At 45.9% G+C, this 18,120-nt stretch overlaps 1 protein-coding gene across 6 annotated transcripts in view, besides 2 other annotated features; it reads left to right on the plus strand.

Annotated features, from left to right (window-relative positions):
• The window catches only part of KAZN (kazrin, periplakin interacting protein), a 1,225,220-nt gene that overhangs the window by 207,964 nt on the left and 999,136 nt on the right, over nt 1-18,120 (plus strand). The window lies entirely within an intron of this gene.
• Nucleotides 4,762-4,931: an enhancer, noted in NCBI's record as "experimental_268 CRE fragment used in MPRA reporter constructs". NCBI's record gives its function as "activates a minimal promoter by MPRAs in K562 erythroleukemia cells, with activity observed for both the introgressed and non-introgressed 1:14432129 variant alleles {active_cell/tissue: K562}" and the evidence as "EXISTENCE:reporter gene assay evidence [ECO:0000049][PMID:34662402]".
• Nucleotides 8,313-8,513: a silencer, noted in NCBI's record as "peak76 fragment used in MPRA reporter construct". NCBI's record gives its function as "represses an SCP1 promoter by STARR-seq MPRAs in K562 erythroleukemia cells {active_cell/tissue: K562}" and the evidence as "EXISTENCE:reporter gene assay evidence [ECO:0000049][PMID:32103011]".

Consider the following 18,120-nt stretch of genomic DNA (forward strand, 5'->3'; position numbering starts at 1 on the left):
GTCCCCACCCAAATCTCATCTTGAATTCCCATGTGTTTGTGGGAGGGACCTGGTGGGAGGTAATTGAATCATGGGATGGGTCTTTCCCGTGCTGTTTTCATGATAGTGAATAAGTTTCACAAAATCTAATGGGTTTAAAAATGGGAGTTTCCCTACACAAGCTCTCCCTTTGCCTGCTGTCATCCATATAAGATATGACTTACTCCTCCTTGCCTTCCGCCATAATCGTGAGGCTTCCCCAGCCACATGGAACTGTGAGTTCTCCATTAAACCTCTTTCATTCGTAAATTACCCGGTCTCGGGTATTTATCAGCAGCGTGAAAATGGACTAGTACACAGTGCACGGTGGGAGCCCTCCCCAAATCTGAGTTCCCAGATGCCCACTAAAAGCCAGTCTTGCAAACAGGCCTTGAAAGGGTTGCAGTCAGGCCTGCCATATTAACTCTTTTCTGCACAGCTCATAACCACTGCACCACTATTTATTACGTGCTTATTATGTGCACGGCATCATAATAAACCAAATTCACCATTTGGAGAATAACACCATTCATCTCTTTGGATGACGGTTTATAAGATAAATACTGTTTTTATCTCCTTTTTCAGATAAACAATTTGAGTTAGAATATCTTGTTCAAGGTGATAAAACAGCAATAAAGTAGTGAAGGAGGGTTTGAATCCAGGTTTATCTCACTCCAAAGTGCTTTGAAGGCTGGCTGGGGATGGGAGTAGGGATTGAAGGGAGAGGGCTGGAGAGGATGTGAATAGTGGTTATTCTTAAGTGAAGGTGTCGTGGATCATTTCTAGTTTCTACCTTTGGACATTTGTGTTGTCTAAGTTTTCCCCAATGGGTACATATTGTTTAACTGGAAAATTTGAAAATTACTTTAAGTAGAATTTTTAGTGAGTTTCCTTTAATATTTACATAAACCCAATTATAAGGGCAGCTTAATTGTCAGCGTGGAAGTAAGCACTGCTAAAGTACTTGAGGTCAGTTTTTTCTCTTAAACAGGATAAACATCTTCCTTATGATGTTGTTTACATATTGTGTTTGCTTAGCAAAACCTTTTTTTCCAAATAGTGCAAACCTAAATGATAGCTTGGCCCCAGCTGAATTAGCCCAGACAGTAACATGCTTTGATAACTAATAATCATCTCAAGTCAAAGATCCCTCTTCCAGCAAACCTCAAACCTTTTAGAGAGAATGAACTTCAGGATATTTTTAAACAACTTCAAAGAAGATGAAGCTTAATTTTTACCAATCTCAGTGAGTGAGGTCTTGGTATTATCAAGTGGGATATTATTTCTTGGAACTTAAAAAAAAAATAAGTCCCTTGACTTATTTAAAAGCCCAGCTGAACTCAAAGCACAGTTTCAACTACACAAAATCCAGAGTCCCGGGGAAGACGCCCTCAGCACACTGGCATGGGTTTACGTGCCCACAGGGTCTCCAGTGCTGAGAGCAATCAGAGAAATCGCTAATCATGGTTAACTTCTCTGTCTGGAGCTCCTGATAGAGACAGCCTGGGAAAAAAATGGGTGATCCTAGTTCCCGCTCGCTGAGCACCTGCCCTCACGCCCTTTGGTTTGTAAACTGCTGCTGGCTTCCTCCATCCAATGGCCATGGTGTCCACCCATGTGACCCCTCCTGGTTGCATCTGATAGAAAGAACCTGGGGAAAAATGGGTGATCCTAGTTCCTGCTCTCCAAGCAGCTGCCATCGTGTGTTTTGGTTTGTAAACTGCTGCTGGCTTCCTCCGTCCAATGGCCATGGTGTTCACTCATGCAGCCCCTCCTGGTGGCATTTCACAGTCCCTTTTTGCAGCTCCATTTCCATGTTTTGGGGGATTATCGTCTCCCATCCTGGTGCCTTCAGGGCCCTCTATGGTGAGCTCCGTGCATCCCCGTGTATTAGCTCTTATGGCTGCGGTGCTAGGGGTGCCATAACCGCACACCATGGACTAGACAACCCACCATGCATTAAACAACAGAAGTTTACCTTCTCACAGTCCTGGAGGCCAGGCGTCTGAGATCAAGGTGTCAGCAGGGCTGGTTTCTCCTGAGGCCTCTGTCTTCCCTGTGTCATCCCATGGGCTTCCCTCTGTACACATTTGAATACTAATCTCTCTCTTTTTTTTTTTTTTAACGGAGTCTTGCTCTGTCACCCAGGCTGGAGTGCAGTGGCATGATCTCAGCTCACTGCAACTTCTGCCTCCTGGGTTCAAAGGATTCTCATGCCTTCATGCCTCAGCCTCCCAAGCAGATGAGGTTATAGGTGTGCACCACCACACCTGGCTAGTTGTTTTTGCATTTTTAGTAGAGCTGAGGGTCTCACCATGTTGGCCAGGCTGGTCTCGAACTCCTGGCCTCAAGTGATCGGCCCGTCTTGATCTCTCAAAGTGCCGGGATTACAGGTGTGAGCCACTGTGCCTGGCCTGCTCTTCTTGTGAGGACACCAGTCTTGTTGTATTGGGGCCCACCCTAGTGACATCTTATACATCTATCTCTTCTTGAAATACATATCTCGAAATACAGTCGCATGTTGAGGCACTGGGGGTTAGGACTTCGATATATAAATTGGAGTGAATGGGAGAAAGGAGACACAATTCAGCCCATACCAGCTGCAGTAACAAATTACAAGTTTAGCAGCTTAAATAACAGAAACTTATTATCTTACATTTCTGTAGGTCAGAAATCTGATACCAAGCCTCACTGGGCTGAATCAAAGTGTTGGCAGCTCCTTTCCATGGGCACTGGATAGAGTCTGTTTTCTTGCCTTTTCCAGCCTCTAGTGATGCCCATCCTTATCTTCAAAGCCGGCCTGGCCAGTGAGTCCTTCTCACATTGCGCCTTTCCAGCCTTCTCTGCAGATACATCTTCCCCTGATTCTCCTGTCTCCCTTTTGCATTTTAAGGGACTCTTGTGATTTTATTGGGCTCACTTGGATAATCCAGGATAATCTCCCTATTTGAAGGTCAAATGATTAGCAACCTTAATTCCATCTGCAGCCTGAATTCCCCTTTGCCATGTAAGGTATCATATGCACAGGTTCCGGGGATTAGTACGGAGACATCGTTGGGGGCCATTATTCTGCCTACAACACTCCCCAAACCTAGAGATCAACACAGATAATTTCTCTGTGTTAAACTCTCCAAATGTAGGCAACATCTCTTTACTGTGCAGGCAGACAAATAGGCAAAAATCGACATTATAATGTAGATTTTACAGGGATGCCTGTGGAGGGTGTTGGGGGTTACTGGAGACAGCGAAGACACTGCAACATTATTGGCACCATGCCAAAGGAAGGTGGGTTCTCCTTGTCTACACCCAGACAGGGTATAACCTACCAGAGCTGGGGACGAGGGAGGAAGGGTCTGGAATATAACACAGCTTGTGGCCTCATTGCAGAGCTGGTGCCAGATGCGTCTCTCCTTCTTGTGCCAAGTGACCCTGCTCCTTCCCCGCAAGGAGCACCTGGTCTCCTGGCGCTGGAGGAGGTCTGTCCTCAACTCTTGACTCAACATCCCCCATGCAAGCAGTGCAAATAGCTTCTTAGCCAAGCGGTTATCCACTCTGCCTCTGAAAATCTTGCTAAGGAGCATTTGTCACACAAGTGGATGTGGTGATTTTTTTTTTAAAGGTTTCCTGCCATCTTGTTTAGATAAGGTGTTGAGAGAGCACCCCCTTGCTCCTGTGGTAGAACAGAGCCAGGGAGCTGAAAAACAAAGAAGAGGGAGCATCACATCTTCCAAGGTAGAAAACCTCAGGATCGCAAATAACATACCCAAGACTTTGGCTACTTTGTGGCCAACCTAGAACTTGAATCCTAGCTGTCCCAGCTGCAAATCTAGTGTTCATTCCATCACGAACTACTTCTGCAACAGGTTAAAATAAAGTTTAATATCAACCTCATGGCTATTCTGTTTAGCAGTTCCCATGAATTTGTACCCTTATCATTTTTCAGAGCAGGCGATTGATTTCTTTTTCTCTCTTGCAGGCAAGAGCCACTTGTTTTGTGTTTGCTGAATGGTTTTGTTTTATTCCTAATGCATTTCTACTATTTATCTACATCCGTTTTTCTTTTGCCTTCATTCCTGAAGCTATTTATTTTGCATTTTTTTCCCAGAAATTGTATGCAATTTTTTTGGTCAAATCCCCTTTGGTCCTTTGTGGTCTGAAGTGGAGAATCACTAAATACATGAATTAAATATCTCCCTTATCTGTGGAGGGTGGTCTTGTTGGAACTCTCATAAGCGCTGGAACTCTGTGTCTCAAGGGATACACTGTGCTCTATTTTTGTTTTTAGCATTGACTGTATGCCAGGTTCTATGCTAAGCAGAAGACACAGATTCTGCTATCTGGGAGGGTCAGCCCAGCAAGAGAGAAGGACATAATTCAAATAGTCGCATGAATAAGTGCATAGTTATAGACCAAGAGAAGCACTTCAAAAGAAGGATCAGGATCTGTTGAGTGTGTATAACAAAAAGAACCAACCCGATCTGGGAGATGAAGACTGAGAAGGAGCTGGGAAGGCTTCCACTTGGCCAAGAGTTGGAGTATGAGCCATGCTGGGCAGAGAGAGCCCATTCAATACAGAAAGAACAGCACATGCAAAGGCCCTGGGGTGGAAGGGGGTTTGTGGATCTGCTTTATTCCTTCTGGCTGCTCAGCTCCTGACCCAGACATTACTGAGCCTTGCCTTGTCCTGGGAACCATGTGCCTCTGGGTTCTGCCCACATCTTAGTTGGATCTCATCCCCTAACCTATTAGTTTTAGAAGAATGGCTTCACCATTCTTGGAACCCCTGTCCAAAGTGACCAAATGAAACACACCCAAGGAGACAAGCATCTACTTGGTTTTCCCACTCTGGTCCATGATCATCAACAATTCTCTACATCTTCCAATTAAGACAATTTCATGGAGTTCCATGACCTAGTGCCTCAAAGGATCGCCATGAAGATCTAGCAAGTTAAGACCCTTGAGCTGCGTGGAAGAGTCTCAGGTGCCACAGAGCCTTGCTAACATTTGCTTTTGGTGAAAAGTCCTCTTTGGAAGGTCAGAGATAGCTGCATTTCCCGAAGGGAGCTTGTGAGGAATTGACATCAGGGTTGGGTTCGAGGTGATGGGAAAGATACTTTTAACCTAATAAATGACCTCTTTTCTGCATTCTCTACCCGCTCCTTGCAGCAATCTGGTGGCTTAAAATTTTTGAAATTGTTTTAGCCACTATGAGGCAACATAATATTTTGGAGAAATAAACAATAACAGTAACAACAACAATAACAAAAATGATTGGAAAACTAGGGGGAGAATATTCCACATTGATTTCTCCATCCAGCCATGAACAAACCCAGAAGGGGTAGCCTCAGGCAGAAAATACCTACACTCTCCATGTTTGGAAATCCAAGGTGTATCTGAGGGTTCTCCAAAGCCCCCAACAGAACCCAACACAGCTCTGACTAAAGCTTCTTTTTCCTTGCAGAGGAAACAAAGGGATGTTGTCTCCACAATCCCCAGGTGGTCATAGAAAATGAATCTCACAGCTGTGGTGGGAGGCAGGATTCTGCCAAAACTTGCTATATATTTAGAACAAATATCTCCGGGAAAGCTAACCTATGTGGCTGCTTACCGTATTCCCTGTGGAACAACCCACATCCCTCTTCTCAAGCCCCCTCCAGCCAGCCATGCCCCTTCCTGCCTTAGAGGGCTGTATCCTTTAGTGGTCAAAGCCTGTCTCCCTGGGCTCTTCCCAAAGGGCTCAGCTCCCAAGTGGCCTCTTCCTCTTCTGCCTCCTCCCCATCCAAACTCCTGCTTTTCAGTAGGGTCAATCCTGAGAATGAAACAGTGACTTGAAATTGATCTTCCCTGAGGTTGGATGAGTGATGATCCCTGTTATTCTTGGAGAGGTATTTTCTTTTGGTTAAGTAGTAGATTAGCCCAAACGCGTCTCTATTCAGTGGCATCCCAGAAGATGTGAATGATATATTTTGAGATAGTGAGTTTCCCCTGAAAGCCCTAAAATAGGAACCCTGGTAACCTCTGCTTTTATGTATGTGCTTGGCTGGTCCTATTAACACTAGCTGGATCAGTGCATGCAGATTAAATCATTTTTTACCAGGTTTCCATTGATACACTCAACCACCCTTTCCCTCCCTCCCTCCTTCCCCTTCCCTCCCTCCCCGTCCCTCCCTCCTTCTCTCCCTCCCTCCCTCCCTCCCTGTCTCCCTCCCCTCCCTCTCTCCCTCCCTCCCTCCCTTCCTTTCTTCCTTCCTTCCTTCCTTCCTTCATCTCTCTCCCCTCTTCCCTCCCTCCCTCACATTCTCAATACCTATTCAGGGAAGTGTAGATTGCTGTGTTGTCTTGTCATCATTTGGGATTTTTCTCCCCATGTTCATTCAGAGCCCAGGTGAGAGGGCTGATGTTTCCTGGAGGTAAGAGCCTTTCTCCGGGCAGTGATCCACCCCTGTCATCTTAATTCAGCCCCTGGATCCAGTATGGCATGAGAGCAGTTAGGAGACAGCTCAAGCCAGCAATTTGTGTCACCATTTTTTAGTCTTTCCCATTAGCCCAAGATGGTTTTTTGTTTGTTTGTTTGTTTGTTTGTTTTTTTGCCTGCTTTGTTTTCTTACATCAAGATCCCTCTTTATTGCAGGAAGACCTAATTAAAGTAATTCCTCTCCCTGTCCTTTGCAACTCACATTTATGGGTAGGAAAGTAGCTGAGATGAACACATTTAAGGGACTAGGGGGACCTTAAGGAAGAACACCATATGGCGTGTGGCTCCACGTTCCAGTGTTGCAGTTCTCAGGTGGGTTTCCATACAAGGCCACCTCGGTTGAGCTCTTCAGTCTTCAGGAGTGTGAGATGTAGGGATGAGTCTACTTATGATGCTGCAGTGGAGATCCTATGAGATAGGGTGGGCGGAAGCTCCATTTTAACCAGATCATGGCACATAAACTCATGAGCTTTGTATGCTGGGTTGTGTGCCCCAGGGAAAGTGTGCTTATTGGTGACTTTACCAAGTGGGAAAGGAGAAGGTGATGACTGCTCAATTCTGTAGATGCAGCCTTGTCACCTGACTCCAAGAAACCTACCTGGCCCACCTTGTCACACTCCAGCTTTATGTACTTGAACCGGTAATTCCTCTGTGATTGTGCCTTAGTTTCCTCATCTACCAAGTGAGGGGATTGTGCAAGATTTCTAAGATCATCTCTCTGCTGAATTTCAGAATCTATCTATCCTTGAACAACTTCCAATTTACCCTCCACATTGCCCTGTTACCCTGCATTCTAGCCGTACTGGACCACGAGATGCTCTAGAAGCTTGCCGTGGCCTCCAGGTCACTGAGGATGCTTTTTTTGTACCCCAAACTCCTCCAGTCTCACCGCTCTTTCTACTGGTTACATCTTATTCACCTTCAGGTCTTTGCTTGAAAGTCATATTTTTCTAGGAAGCCTTCTCCCCACCTCCACCAAGCCAGGGGGAGGCTCATCTCAAGCATGTTTTGTGGCTCTCTCACAGCCCGTACTATAGAAGAGTATAGCTCCCTGTTTAGGGAAGAGTGTGTCTCTGCTGAATCGTAAGCTCCTTGAAGGATGGGGCTGTGTCCTGCTCTAATTGTGTCCAGTTCCTAACACAATGCCTGGCACATAGCAGACAAGTAATCAATATTTTTTACCTGAACTGTTTTTAAGAGGCTGTGCTGCTGCTCAAAACGTGGCATCGTGCCAGACAGATCTCCCTCCCAGGAGGCAGGTGGTGGGCCAGACTTGCAGTGCCCTCTGACAAATTGGCTCTGTTTCTAAATGATGGTCATTCCACTTTCCAAAATACCCAACTATCTCCCAGGGAGCAGAATTGGCCTCTATCTGTGCCTTGTCCTCTTACGTATCCCCAAAGTGACCCTTTATCTTTAGAACAAGCTGGGAACCGTGTGGACTTGCCCATTTGTTCCTTTTCTGAAGCATAACGTTAACACTCCCCCAAGCATGCACGTCCCATTTTAGATGCATTCTGGCAAGCCGATTTCCTGTTCCCATTCAGTCAATCATCTTCCATCCTTGGCAGGAAGGAGAACACACAGCTACGCCTGTGCCAACCCCAACATATTTCTAGTTCCATCATGGCTGGGTCTGTGCTGCCTATGCCATAGGATTTTAAGATGCTTTTAAAAAATCGTGTGTATGAGTGTTTCACAGCCAGGACTCAGAATGCACAGGCTGAGCTAGGACTGCAATGTGGCCGAGCTCGCATCTGTGAATCAGTCATAGCCCATGACCTTTACTTAAGGACCAAAGTCCTGTGTCATAGTAGGAAAGACACCGCATGACAGAGAGGTACTGCCTGGGTACCGAAGATTGTGGTGTGATGACTTAAGAGTGAAATGGAGCCAAGGACAACATCTAGCCTAGAGTGAGGTCATGAGAGTCAGCCAGGTGTTCCTAGTCCATTCTTTGTATGTTGCAATAGAGGACAAAGAGTATTTGCACAGGGGTGGGCCAGTAGCCCTTAGTATTGGCAATGATCCATTTATCCATTTCAAACTCTTATGATGCTATGAAAACTAACTCTCCTTCTGATGTTCCTTTGACCACAGGCAAGTATAGATCCACTTCTTGAGGACTTTGATGTATATCTGATGGCTGTGTGTGTGTGCATGTGTGTTGAAACCTCCTTTGTCTACTCTGAGTTCCTTAGCTTAGTTTGAAGTTTCAGTAGGTGCCTCCCTGGACTTATAACCTCACTCCTTTCTTGTCATTTATTCTCTGCTAAAATCTATAATGTCCTTTCTGCTATGTCAAGAGTGATTTTGGCCCTTACCCTTCTTTCTCCACGCTCTGATATTTTTCTTTCATTTCTTTTTGGAACATAAATTTGATTTCCCATTTGCACGGCCCAGCGTGAACCTGAGGGTAATTACTCTAATTTGCAGCTGCATCAAGAAGGCAAAGACTGGAGCCACCATTCCATTCAGCTTAAACTCTCCTCCATCAGGCCCCTCTCCTGAAAATGCCATTCCTTATCAAAACGATTTCAGCGTCAAGTAGGAGCTGTACTAAAAATTTATGTAAGTTTCCCTTTACTTTTCTGATAGCTGTAAAAATCTGTTCTAAAAGGATGGAGGCATTTTTTTCCCCTACCATTTCTCTATAGCCTATGTTAATTTTGCTCTTTTCTTGCCACCCAATTTTGTTCTCTTCAGTCCTGTTCTCAGCTGGATCCTGGTGTTTCACTCCACATATTGAATAAGCAAAGCAATAATATGTTGTGATTAATAAGTGGCTTGACAGGCAGGAAAAAAGAAAATCTTATTCATTGCATCAGTGGTGCTGTGCAAATGCACTGTTTTTGAAAAATGCATTTAGTCAGCAGGGTGGTTTTTGTCCACATCCTTGGCCCTGTGCTCTCCACTTCAGCTGGATGTTCCGTTTCCTTCACGTGCAAATTTCAGGCTTGCAGAACATGAGGGCATGGGTTCCAAGGATGCTTAAAGCCTTGCCAAACCTTAGGAACTCATTTTTGGAGGCCAAATCCCTCATTACATAAGATATATTAATACACATCCACATCCCACTTGCAATGCAATTTTGTATAACTCTCTAAGAATTTAGACTTGAGTTGCATTTGACCTGTTGATACAACTAAGTCCTCCTGTGCCACTGACCTTCTCCTGCGCCTGTATGGGTGTGACCCATACAACTTACAACAGTGCTATGGTTTAGGCACTCTTATTATCCAGATCATTTTGTAGTTTTTTGACTTCTATTGCATATCTATCTATTTCTCTTAGGAGGTTTTATTTGCATGACTTGGAATGATACATTATTTTTCAGATCTCAAGAAACTTTTCTCCTTTGAAAAGCTCACAGGCTCTGGATCTGCTTTCTCTAAGGTGGTAGCCACAAACCATCTGTGGCTACAAAACCCTTAAAATGTGGCTAGCCCAAGCTGTGCTTTGAGTGTAAAATACACCCTAGGTTTCAGGCTTAGTACAGGGAAAAAAAAGACACGTAAAATATCTCATTAATATCTTTTTATATTGACTACATGTTAAGATGACAATGACGATGTTTTGGCTGTGCTAAATAAAATATATATTACAATTAATTTTAACTTTTGTTTGTGTGTGTTTTTTACTTTTTAATGAGATTACTAGAAACTTTTAAATTGCATACACAATTTGCATTATATTTCTGCTGGACAGCATTGCTCTAGATAGCATGGGAAATGATGTGGGGGTTAAAATGGCCCTGGATGACTCCTGCCTTCAGTGGAAGTACATCAATGTCCTGAAGGAGGTGGAGGATTCATCAATATTCATCCACACAGCAGACATCCATTGAGGGTCTATGCTATGCCAGACATTAGGCAAAATGCTAGAGATAGGGGGACAGCAGGATAAATAGAGTTTCCACCCAGGGCCTCTGCATCAGGGCGCCTAGCCACAGCACACACGCGGGCTGCAGTCCAGGATATGCCGATCCACTAAGCTTGAAATTGCATGGGGATCCTGGCTGCTGAGCAAGGGGTGGGCAGGAAGGAAAGAGTGCCTCCTAGAGACAGATCTACACTGTAGAAATAAACAGTAAGACTTTGGAGGTTGCACATTGGAAAAGTGAAGGAACTACTGATCTCTATATGCCCTGTGCTTGGCACATAGAAAGCTGGTGATAATTGTGCACTGAGTACTAACGTCAGGCCCAGCAGAGTCCAAAAGGACTGGGGCAGCATTGCTGCACTTGAAGGAAATGGTTCGTTTTTCTCATTCATACGAAAGGGCTGTCTCTCTCCCAGCTGTGCTTTTTGAGGGTTGCATGTGCACCTTGTAAAAGAGCCTCTGATTCCTCACCAGCCCTGTCTGTGCCCTTACAGAGCAGGGGCATTGAAAGTCCTGCACACCTGCGTTGTCTCTGGACTCCACACCTGATGCCCCAACCCTTTGCCTAGATTCTTTTCTTTTTTTTTTTTTTTTTGAGGTGGAGTCTCGCTCTGTCGCCCAGGCTGCAGTGCAGTGGCATGATCTTGGCTAACTGCAACCTCGGCTTCCTGGGTTCAAGCGATTCTCCTGCCTCAGCCTCCTGAGTAGCTGGGACTACAGCTGCGCACCACCACGCCCGGCTAATTTTTGTATTTTTAGTAGAGACGGGCTTTCACCATATTGGTCAGGCTGGTCTTGAACTCCTGACCTAGTGATCCACCCACCTCGGCCTCCCAAAATGCTGTGATTACAGACGTGAGCCACCACGCTCAGCCCCTTTGCCTAGATTCTAACTTCTGGCCTGGATTCCTGAGACTGCCACCCTCCAGGCTTAGAGGGTCTGCCGCAGCTTTGCCATATCTGACTGCTGACTTCTGACCCAAGGCTGGGTCTGACCTTACCTACTGGCTGTCCACATCAGGCAAGCCAGTGAGGTTTCTCCTTTGTCCTCTTCTTCTCTAAAAAAGTCCCACTTATTTGCTGTCTTCCTGACTCTCTCTGCTAGAAGGTGAGCTCCTGATCTGGTGTGTTCATTCGTGTATCTGCAGCACTGAGAACACTGCTAGCTCAGTCTGGATGCTGTGTGACCATATGGTAGTGAGGACAAACCCACCACCGTTACTTGGGTGAGGAGCTGCCTGCATCCCTCCCACTCCTCTTTGGCCACTGTGGGTTGTCAACAGTCTTGATTCCAAGAAGTGATGTCCTGGCTTTTAGGAGAAAGAACTTTGTTGGGAGCATGGCAGACACTCTCCTCTCACTCCCAGGGACCCTCACCCTTGTATGATCACTTCTCCATTCAGTGTCGGTGTAGGGGGAAACTGTGACTCTGATAAGATGTCACTCCCATGATTATGTTCCCTTACATGGAAAAAGGGAGATGGATGGAATGGGCCTGGTATAATCACATGAGTCCTTTCAAAGCAGGGAGTTGTCTTGGCTGGTAGTAGAAGAAGTCAGAGACATTGGAGGCATGAGAGAGTGCAGTCTTGGCACTGATGACTAGGCTGGCTGTGCTTCTTGTTCCTGCCATGCCCTTTGCCTTGGTTTTGTCTCTTGACCTTTTCCAAGCTGCCACACTCTTTACTGCATCCCAGCCTCCAGCCCTGTGCCTAGCACATAGAAAGCTCTAGATAACTGTTCAGCCCAGCAGAGTTCAAAGTGCTGTGCGGAAGAAAGGCAGTCTTGCCTGTCACTAACTGCATCCCTGGCTTTGATGGGCAAAGACTTTGCCCAAGTGTCTAAAGTGACACATCATTCCCCTGCTCATTAGAGATGAGGAGTTTCTTCACTTTTTCAATGTGCACCCTCCAAAGTCTTGTTTATTTCTACAGTGTAGATTTGTCTCTAGGAGGTGCTCCTTCCTTCCTGCCCACCCCTTCCTCAGCACTGGGGATCCCCATGCAATTTCAAGGCTGGGCAAGTCAGGTGACAGCAGTAAAGTCACTCATTTCTTGATTCTTTCTCTGGCATAAAAGCCATACAATCCCTGTCTCTTAGGGAGTTGGGGCTGGCAGAGAACAGAGATGTTCAGTGGCAAATACCCTGCCAACCTTGTGATGTGTGGCGAAAGGATGACTGGGTGGGAAGAGCCAGCGTCACACCACATTCTCAGCTGAGTTTTCCAAATTCTGTCTTTACATAGGTCGTGACAAGTAAAGCACTTTCCCCGAAAAATGCAGGCGTACAATTAGCCCAGGCCCTGAGATCTGAAAGAGAAGGAAGGTGACCGGAGACGTCATTTATTACGTCCTTCCCACGTACTTGGTATTTTTCCAAAAACTTCCATGTTTGAGTTGATTATCCTGTTTTACAGAAAAGGAAACTGACACTTAAAGAGGTTGAGTCACTTTCCCCAAATTGCACAGCTAAGAAATGAAAGATCTGGACAAGCACCCAAGTGTTCTGACTGCAGAGTATTAGCTCCTTCCTGACCACGGTGCTGGGGTGTCTGAGCTCTGTCCAAGCTCCATGACCTTGGAAAACCATTGAGCCTTCCTGAACTCAGTTTCTTGTCCTGTTCTATGAGGATTTACATGAAGACTCAATGACATTATTTATGCCAAGGGCTTTGCATGGTGGAAACTCTTGAACAACAGTAGAGCAAAGACGCCAGTGGGGCATCTACTGGCCAGTGACCTGTGTGTGGCCGTCTGAAATTAAGGGGTGTTTGCCTGGAGTCTGCCCCCTTGTTTGGGTAGGAAGGGAAAAGCTCAGTGGTGGTTTTGGTGGAGGCCACAAACTGGCAGCAAACGTCCAGGGGAGGGCACTCTTCTCTCACAGCTCAATGAGTCCTCCAAGGCCTTGCAGTGCAGCTTTTAAGAGGTGCAGTCAGCCTTTTAGAAACGCTGAGCCCCAGGCCAGCCATGGCGGTGGCAGAGCTGCATGGGAAGCATCCCTGGACCGATTCAGTGCCTGGTTCTTCAGGGCCACAGCAGCAGACGGCCCCATTATTTTCAGGCTACACAGACAAGTGCATGTGGGTGACCGAATATGTCATGTTTCAGCTGCTGCGTGGGGGGCCGGCATTGGGGGGATCAGTGCACTTTTGAGGCAGGACTTTGATGCTCCCCATGGCTCTCTTTTAACCCTGGGGATCCCTGGGGAGGCAGGATATGACTCTGGCGATTTGCAGAATCAGGAAGGAAGTGGTTTAGGTGTTTGAAACCACACTCTACTCTCCAGCCTGGAACTCTCTCGAGCCCCCTATTCCAGGCATCCAGATTGTGTCCTCTCTTTGCCCACCCCACCGTCGATGCCCCCCATATCCTCCATATCCAGGCCGACTGCCCCACATTTCACTCTGTATTTGAAAAGCCCTTCCTTCTTCCTCCCTTCCTTCTGCATTCCCCCATTCACCATTAACAATGATAATGGTTTGATAGATTTATCTTTTCACATATCAGGTTGGAAAACTGATTAGATGGAAACTTTCAATACCTTGATCTCTAAAAGTGATGACACACTGTCATTCTAGACACAGTGTCAGTATATTTTCTAATCTAATATTCATTGCAAGCTTGCTGCATACTAGAAATGCTGAGCCCTCTAACTCCATCCCCACAATGATTCCATAAGGCAGGTGCTGTTACCGTTCCCATTTATAAATGACACAACTACAACCATAGAGGGTACATTTTCCCAGAGAGGGTAAATTGGTTCACTTGCTTAGTGTTTGGAGGTGCTCAGTCTCTGACCCAGGTCTATTGTGTACAAACCCCACCTTCTTAGCCACTGCTCCTGTGCTGGCTCTGTTGATGTCTGCCTTAGTCAGCCCAGGCTGCCATAACAAAGTCCCACAGACTGAGTGGGTTAAAGAGCAGACATTGATCTTCCACAGTGCTGGAGGCTGCAAGTCCAAGAGCAAGGTACCTGCAGATTCACTTCCTGGTGAGGGCTCTCTTCCTGACTTGCAGACAGCCACTTTCTCACTGTGTCCTCACATGGCAGAGAGATACAACAATGTCTCTCACTTCTTATGCAGCCACAAATCACATCATGAAGAACTTACCCTTATGACCTCATCTAACCCTAATTACCTCCTGATATGGTTTGGCTGTGCCCCCACCCAAATCTCATCTTGAATTCCCACATGTTGTGGGAGGGACCCAGTGGGAGGTAATTGAATCATGGGGGCAGGTCTTTCCTGTGCTGTTCTCATGATAGTGAATAAGTCTTATGAGATCTAATGGTTCCAAAAAGGGAACTTTCCCTGCACAAGCTTCTTCTCTTTGCTGCTATGTGAGATGTGCCTTTTACCTTCCACCATGATTGTGAGGCCTCCTCAGCCATGTGGAACTGTAAGTCCATTAAAACCTTTTACTTCCCAGTCCTAAGCATGTCTTTATCAGCAGCATGAAAATGAATTAATATAGTAAATTGGTACCAATGGAGTGGGATGCCACTGAAAAAATACCCGAAAATGCGGAAGCGACTTTGGAATTGAGTAACAGGCAGGGGTTGGAACAATTTGGAGGGCTCAGAAGAAGACAGGAAAATGTGGAAAATTTGGAACTTCCTAGAGACTTGTTGAATAGCTTTGCCCAAAATGCTGATAGCGATACGGACAATAAAGTCCAGGCTGAGGTGGTCTCAGACGGAAATAAGGACCTTCTTGGGAACTAGAGCAAAGGTGAGTCTTGTTACGTTTTACCAAAGAGTCTGGCAGCATTTTGCCCTTGCCCTAGAGATTTGTGTAACTTTGAACTTGAGAGAAATGATTTAGGGTATCCGGAAGAATAAATTTCTAAGTAGCAAAGTATTCAAGATGTGACTTGAGTGCTGTTAAAGGCATTCAGTTTTATAAAGGAAGCGGAGCATAAAAGTTCAAAAATTTGCATCCTGACAATGCAATAGAAAAGGAAATCCCATTTCCTGAGGAGAAATCCAAGCTGACTTAAGAAATTTGCGTAAGTAACAAGGAACCAATTGTTAATCCCTGAGACAATGGGGAAATTGTCTCCAGGGCATGTCAGAGGTCTTCAAGGCAGTCTCTCCCATCACAGGCCCAGAGGCCTAGGAGAAAAAAGTGGTTTTGTGGAACAGGCCCAGGGTCCCCATGCTGTGTGCAGCCTAGGGATCTGGCATTCTCCATCCCAGCTGCTCCAGCCGTGGCTGACAGGGGCCAACATAGAGCTTGGGTCTTGGCTTCAGAGGGTGCAAGCCTCAAGCCATGGCAACTTCCATGTGATGTTGAGCCTGCCAGTGCACAGAAGTCAAGAGTTGAGGTTTGGGAACCTCTGCCTAGATTTCAGAGGATGTATGGAAACACCTGGATGTCCAGGCAGAAGTTTGCTGCAGGGGCAGGGTTTTCATAGAGAGCCTCTGCTAGGGCAGTGCAGAAGGGAAATGTGGGGTCAGAGCCCCCCACATGGAGTCCCTACTGGGATGCTGCTTAGTGGAGTTGTGAGAAGAGGGCCACTGTCCTCCAGACCCCAGAATGGTAGATCCACTGACAGCTCCCACCGTGTGCCTGGAAAAGCTGCAGACACTCAATGCCAGCCTGTGAAAGCAGCCAGGAGGGAGGCTGTACCCTGCAAAGCAACAGGGGTGGAGCTGCCCAAGACCATAAGAACCTACCTCTTTCATCAGTGTAACCTGAATATGAGACATGGAGTCAAAGGAGATCATTTTGGAATTATCAGATTTGACTGCCCTGCTGGATTTTGGACTTGCATGGAGCCTGTAGCCCCTTTGTTCTGGCCATTTTCTCCCATTTGTAATGGCTGTATTTACCCAATGCTTGGATTGTCTGTAGGAAGTAACTAACTTGCTTTTGATTTTACAGACTCATAGGTGCAAGGGACTTGCCTTGTCTTGGATGAGACTTCGGACTGTGGATTTTTAGTTAATGCTTGAAATGAGTTAAGACATTGGGGAACTGTTGGGAAGACATGATTGGTTTTGATATGTGAGGACATGAGATTTGGGAGGGGCCGAGGTGGAATGATATGGTTTGGCTGTGTCCCCATCCAAATCTCATCTTGAATTCTCATGTATTGTGGGAAGGATCTGGTGGGAGGTAATTGAATCATGGGGGCAGGTCTTTCCCGTGCTCTTCTTGTGATAGTGAATAAGTCTCATGGGAACTGATGATTTTAAAAAGGGGAATTTCCCTGCGCAAGCTTCTTCTGTTGACTGCTGCTATGTGAGACATGCCTTTCACCTTCCGCCATGATTGTGAGGCCTACCCAGCTACACTGAAGTGTAAGTTCATTAAAACCTCTTTTTCTTCCTGGTCTCAAGTATGTCTTTATCAGCAGCATGAAAGTGGACTAATACACCTCCCAAAGGCCCCACCTCCAAATACCATTACACTGGGGGTTGGGTCAGCAGGTCTGAAATCAGGGGGTGGGGAGGTAAAAGGAAAGATGGGCCCCTTCTAAAGACAGGCATAACCCAGATCTGAATCCCAGATCTGCCAGTTAGAGATGAGATGAGCCTGGCCATGTCACTTAGCCTCTCTGATCTTCTATATCCTCCCCTAGTAAGTAAGACTGGTGATGATGATGGTGGGTGCCTCACACTGTAAGGGGTTCTTGTTGCAGGTAAATCACTGACCACTGCCTGGCTCATGGTGAGGACTGAAATGTTAGCTCATGAACTACCCAAATGAGAAGGCCCAGTCTGGTTTCATTGGTCAGGTGGATGGTGTTAATGATTCATCATTGATGAGCACCCTTTGCTATTTACAGAAAGGTTTCCCACATGTGAGCTCAGCTGCAGTTGCACTGCTCACTCTTCTGCTGCCTCTGGAACCTAATCCCATGGTCCAGGGGCTTGAGACCGGGGCGTTGCATGGGGCAGCTCTATGGTGGGGTCACCATGGGAAAACCCAGCTTTGGAGGGCAGCTCACAGGTGACCACATTCTCCTTTGCAGTTTCTCAAAGAATGGTGAAAAGGCAAGATTTAGATTCAAATTCAACTTGTATTCTTACCTACCAGGTTCTGGATTCTGTGCTAAATACTTTACTTATACATAAAATGTTATTTAATCCTTTTAGAGAGAAACAAATCTATCAGTAGGGGCCAAGGCTCTAGAGGGTTTTTAAAACAAAATAGATCAAACCCTACCATCAAGCAGGAACATGTTATTCATTCTTCCCCCATCCCCTTTTCATCATCAGGGATTTGATAGTTATTCTCAAGATAAGGTGGTTTGAAGACCTGGATGCCAGCCTGCATCCAACTCTTTTACTTCTTTCTTTGTCTTGCTCAGTGAGTCTCAAATTTTGAAGTGTATAAAATTTACTGTACATTCCTGAAAAAACAAAACCCAAGGCCAGGGCACTGTATAGGCAATGGAAACCATGTAATGGGGTAATTTTTGCCTTACATGCTGACCACAGATACAAACCCTTTCTTTGAAACAGAACATCACAAGGATGTTCACCGAAGAGATCTCAGAATTCATCTGGTTGAATCATGAGGATGTTCACTGAGGAGATCTCAGAATTCATCTGGTTGAATCTTCCCATTTTACAGATGGGAAGACTGGGTGCCAGAAGGATCAATTGGATCATGGTGGATTGCAACACTAATTAGGGATAGAGCCGGGAATGTCTTACTGGAATTGGGTTGTCTGCTGACCAAACATCTGAGCTGTAATTTGACTCAAAACTGCCAAGGGTTTTAAAAGAATGCG

This window comes from Homo sapiens, chromosome 1 (assembly GCF_000001405.40).
Source record: "Homo sapiens chromosome 1, GRCh38.p14 Primary Assembly".
NCBI classification, from domain to species: Eukaryota; Metazoa; Chordata; class Mammalia; order Primates; family Hominidae; genus Homo; species Homo sapiens.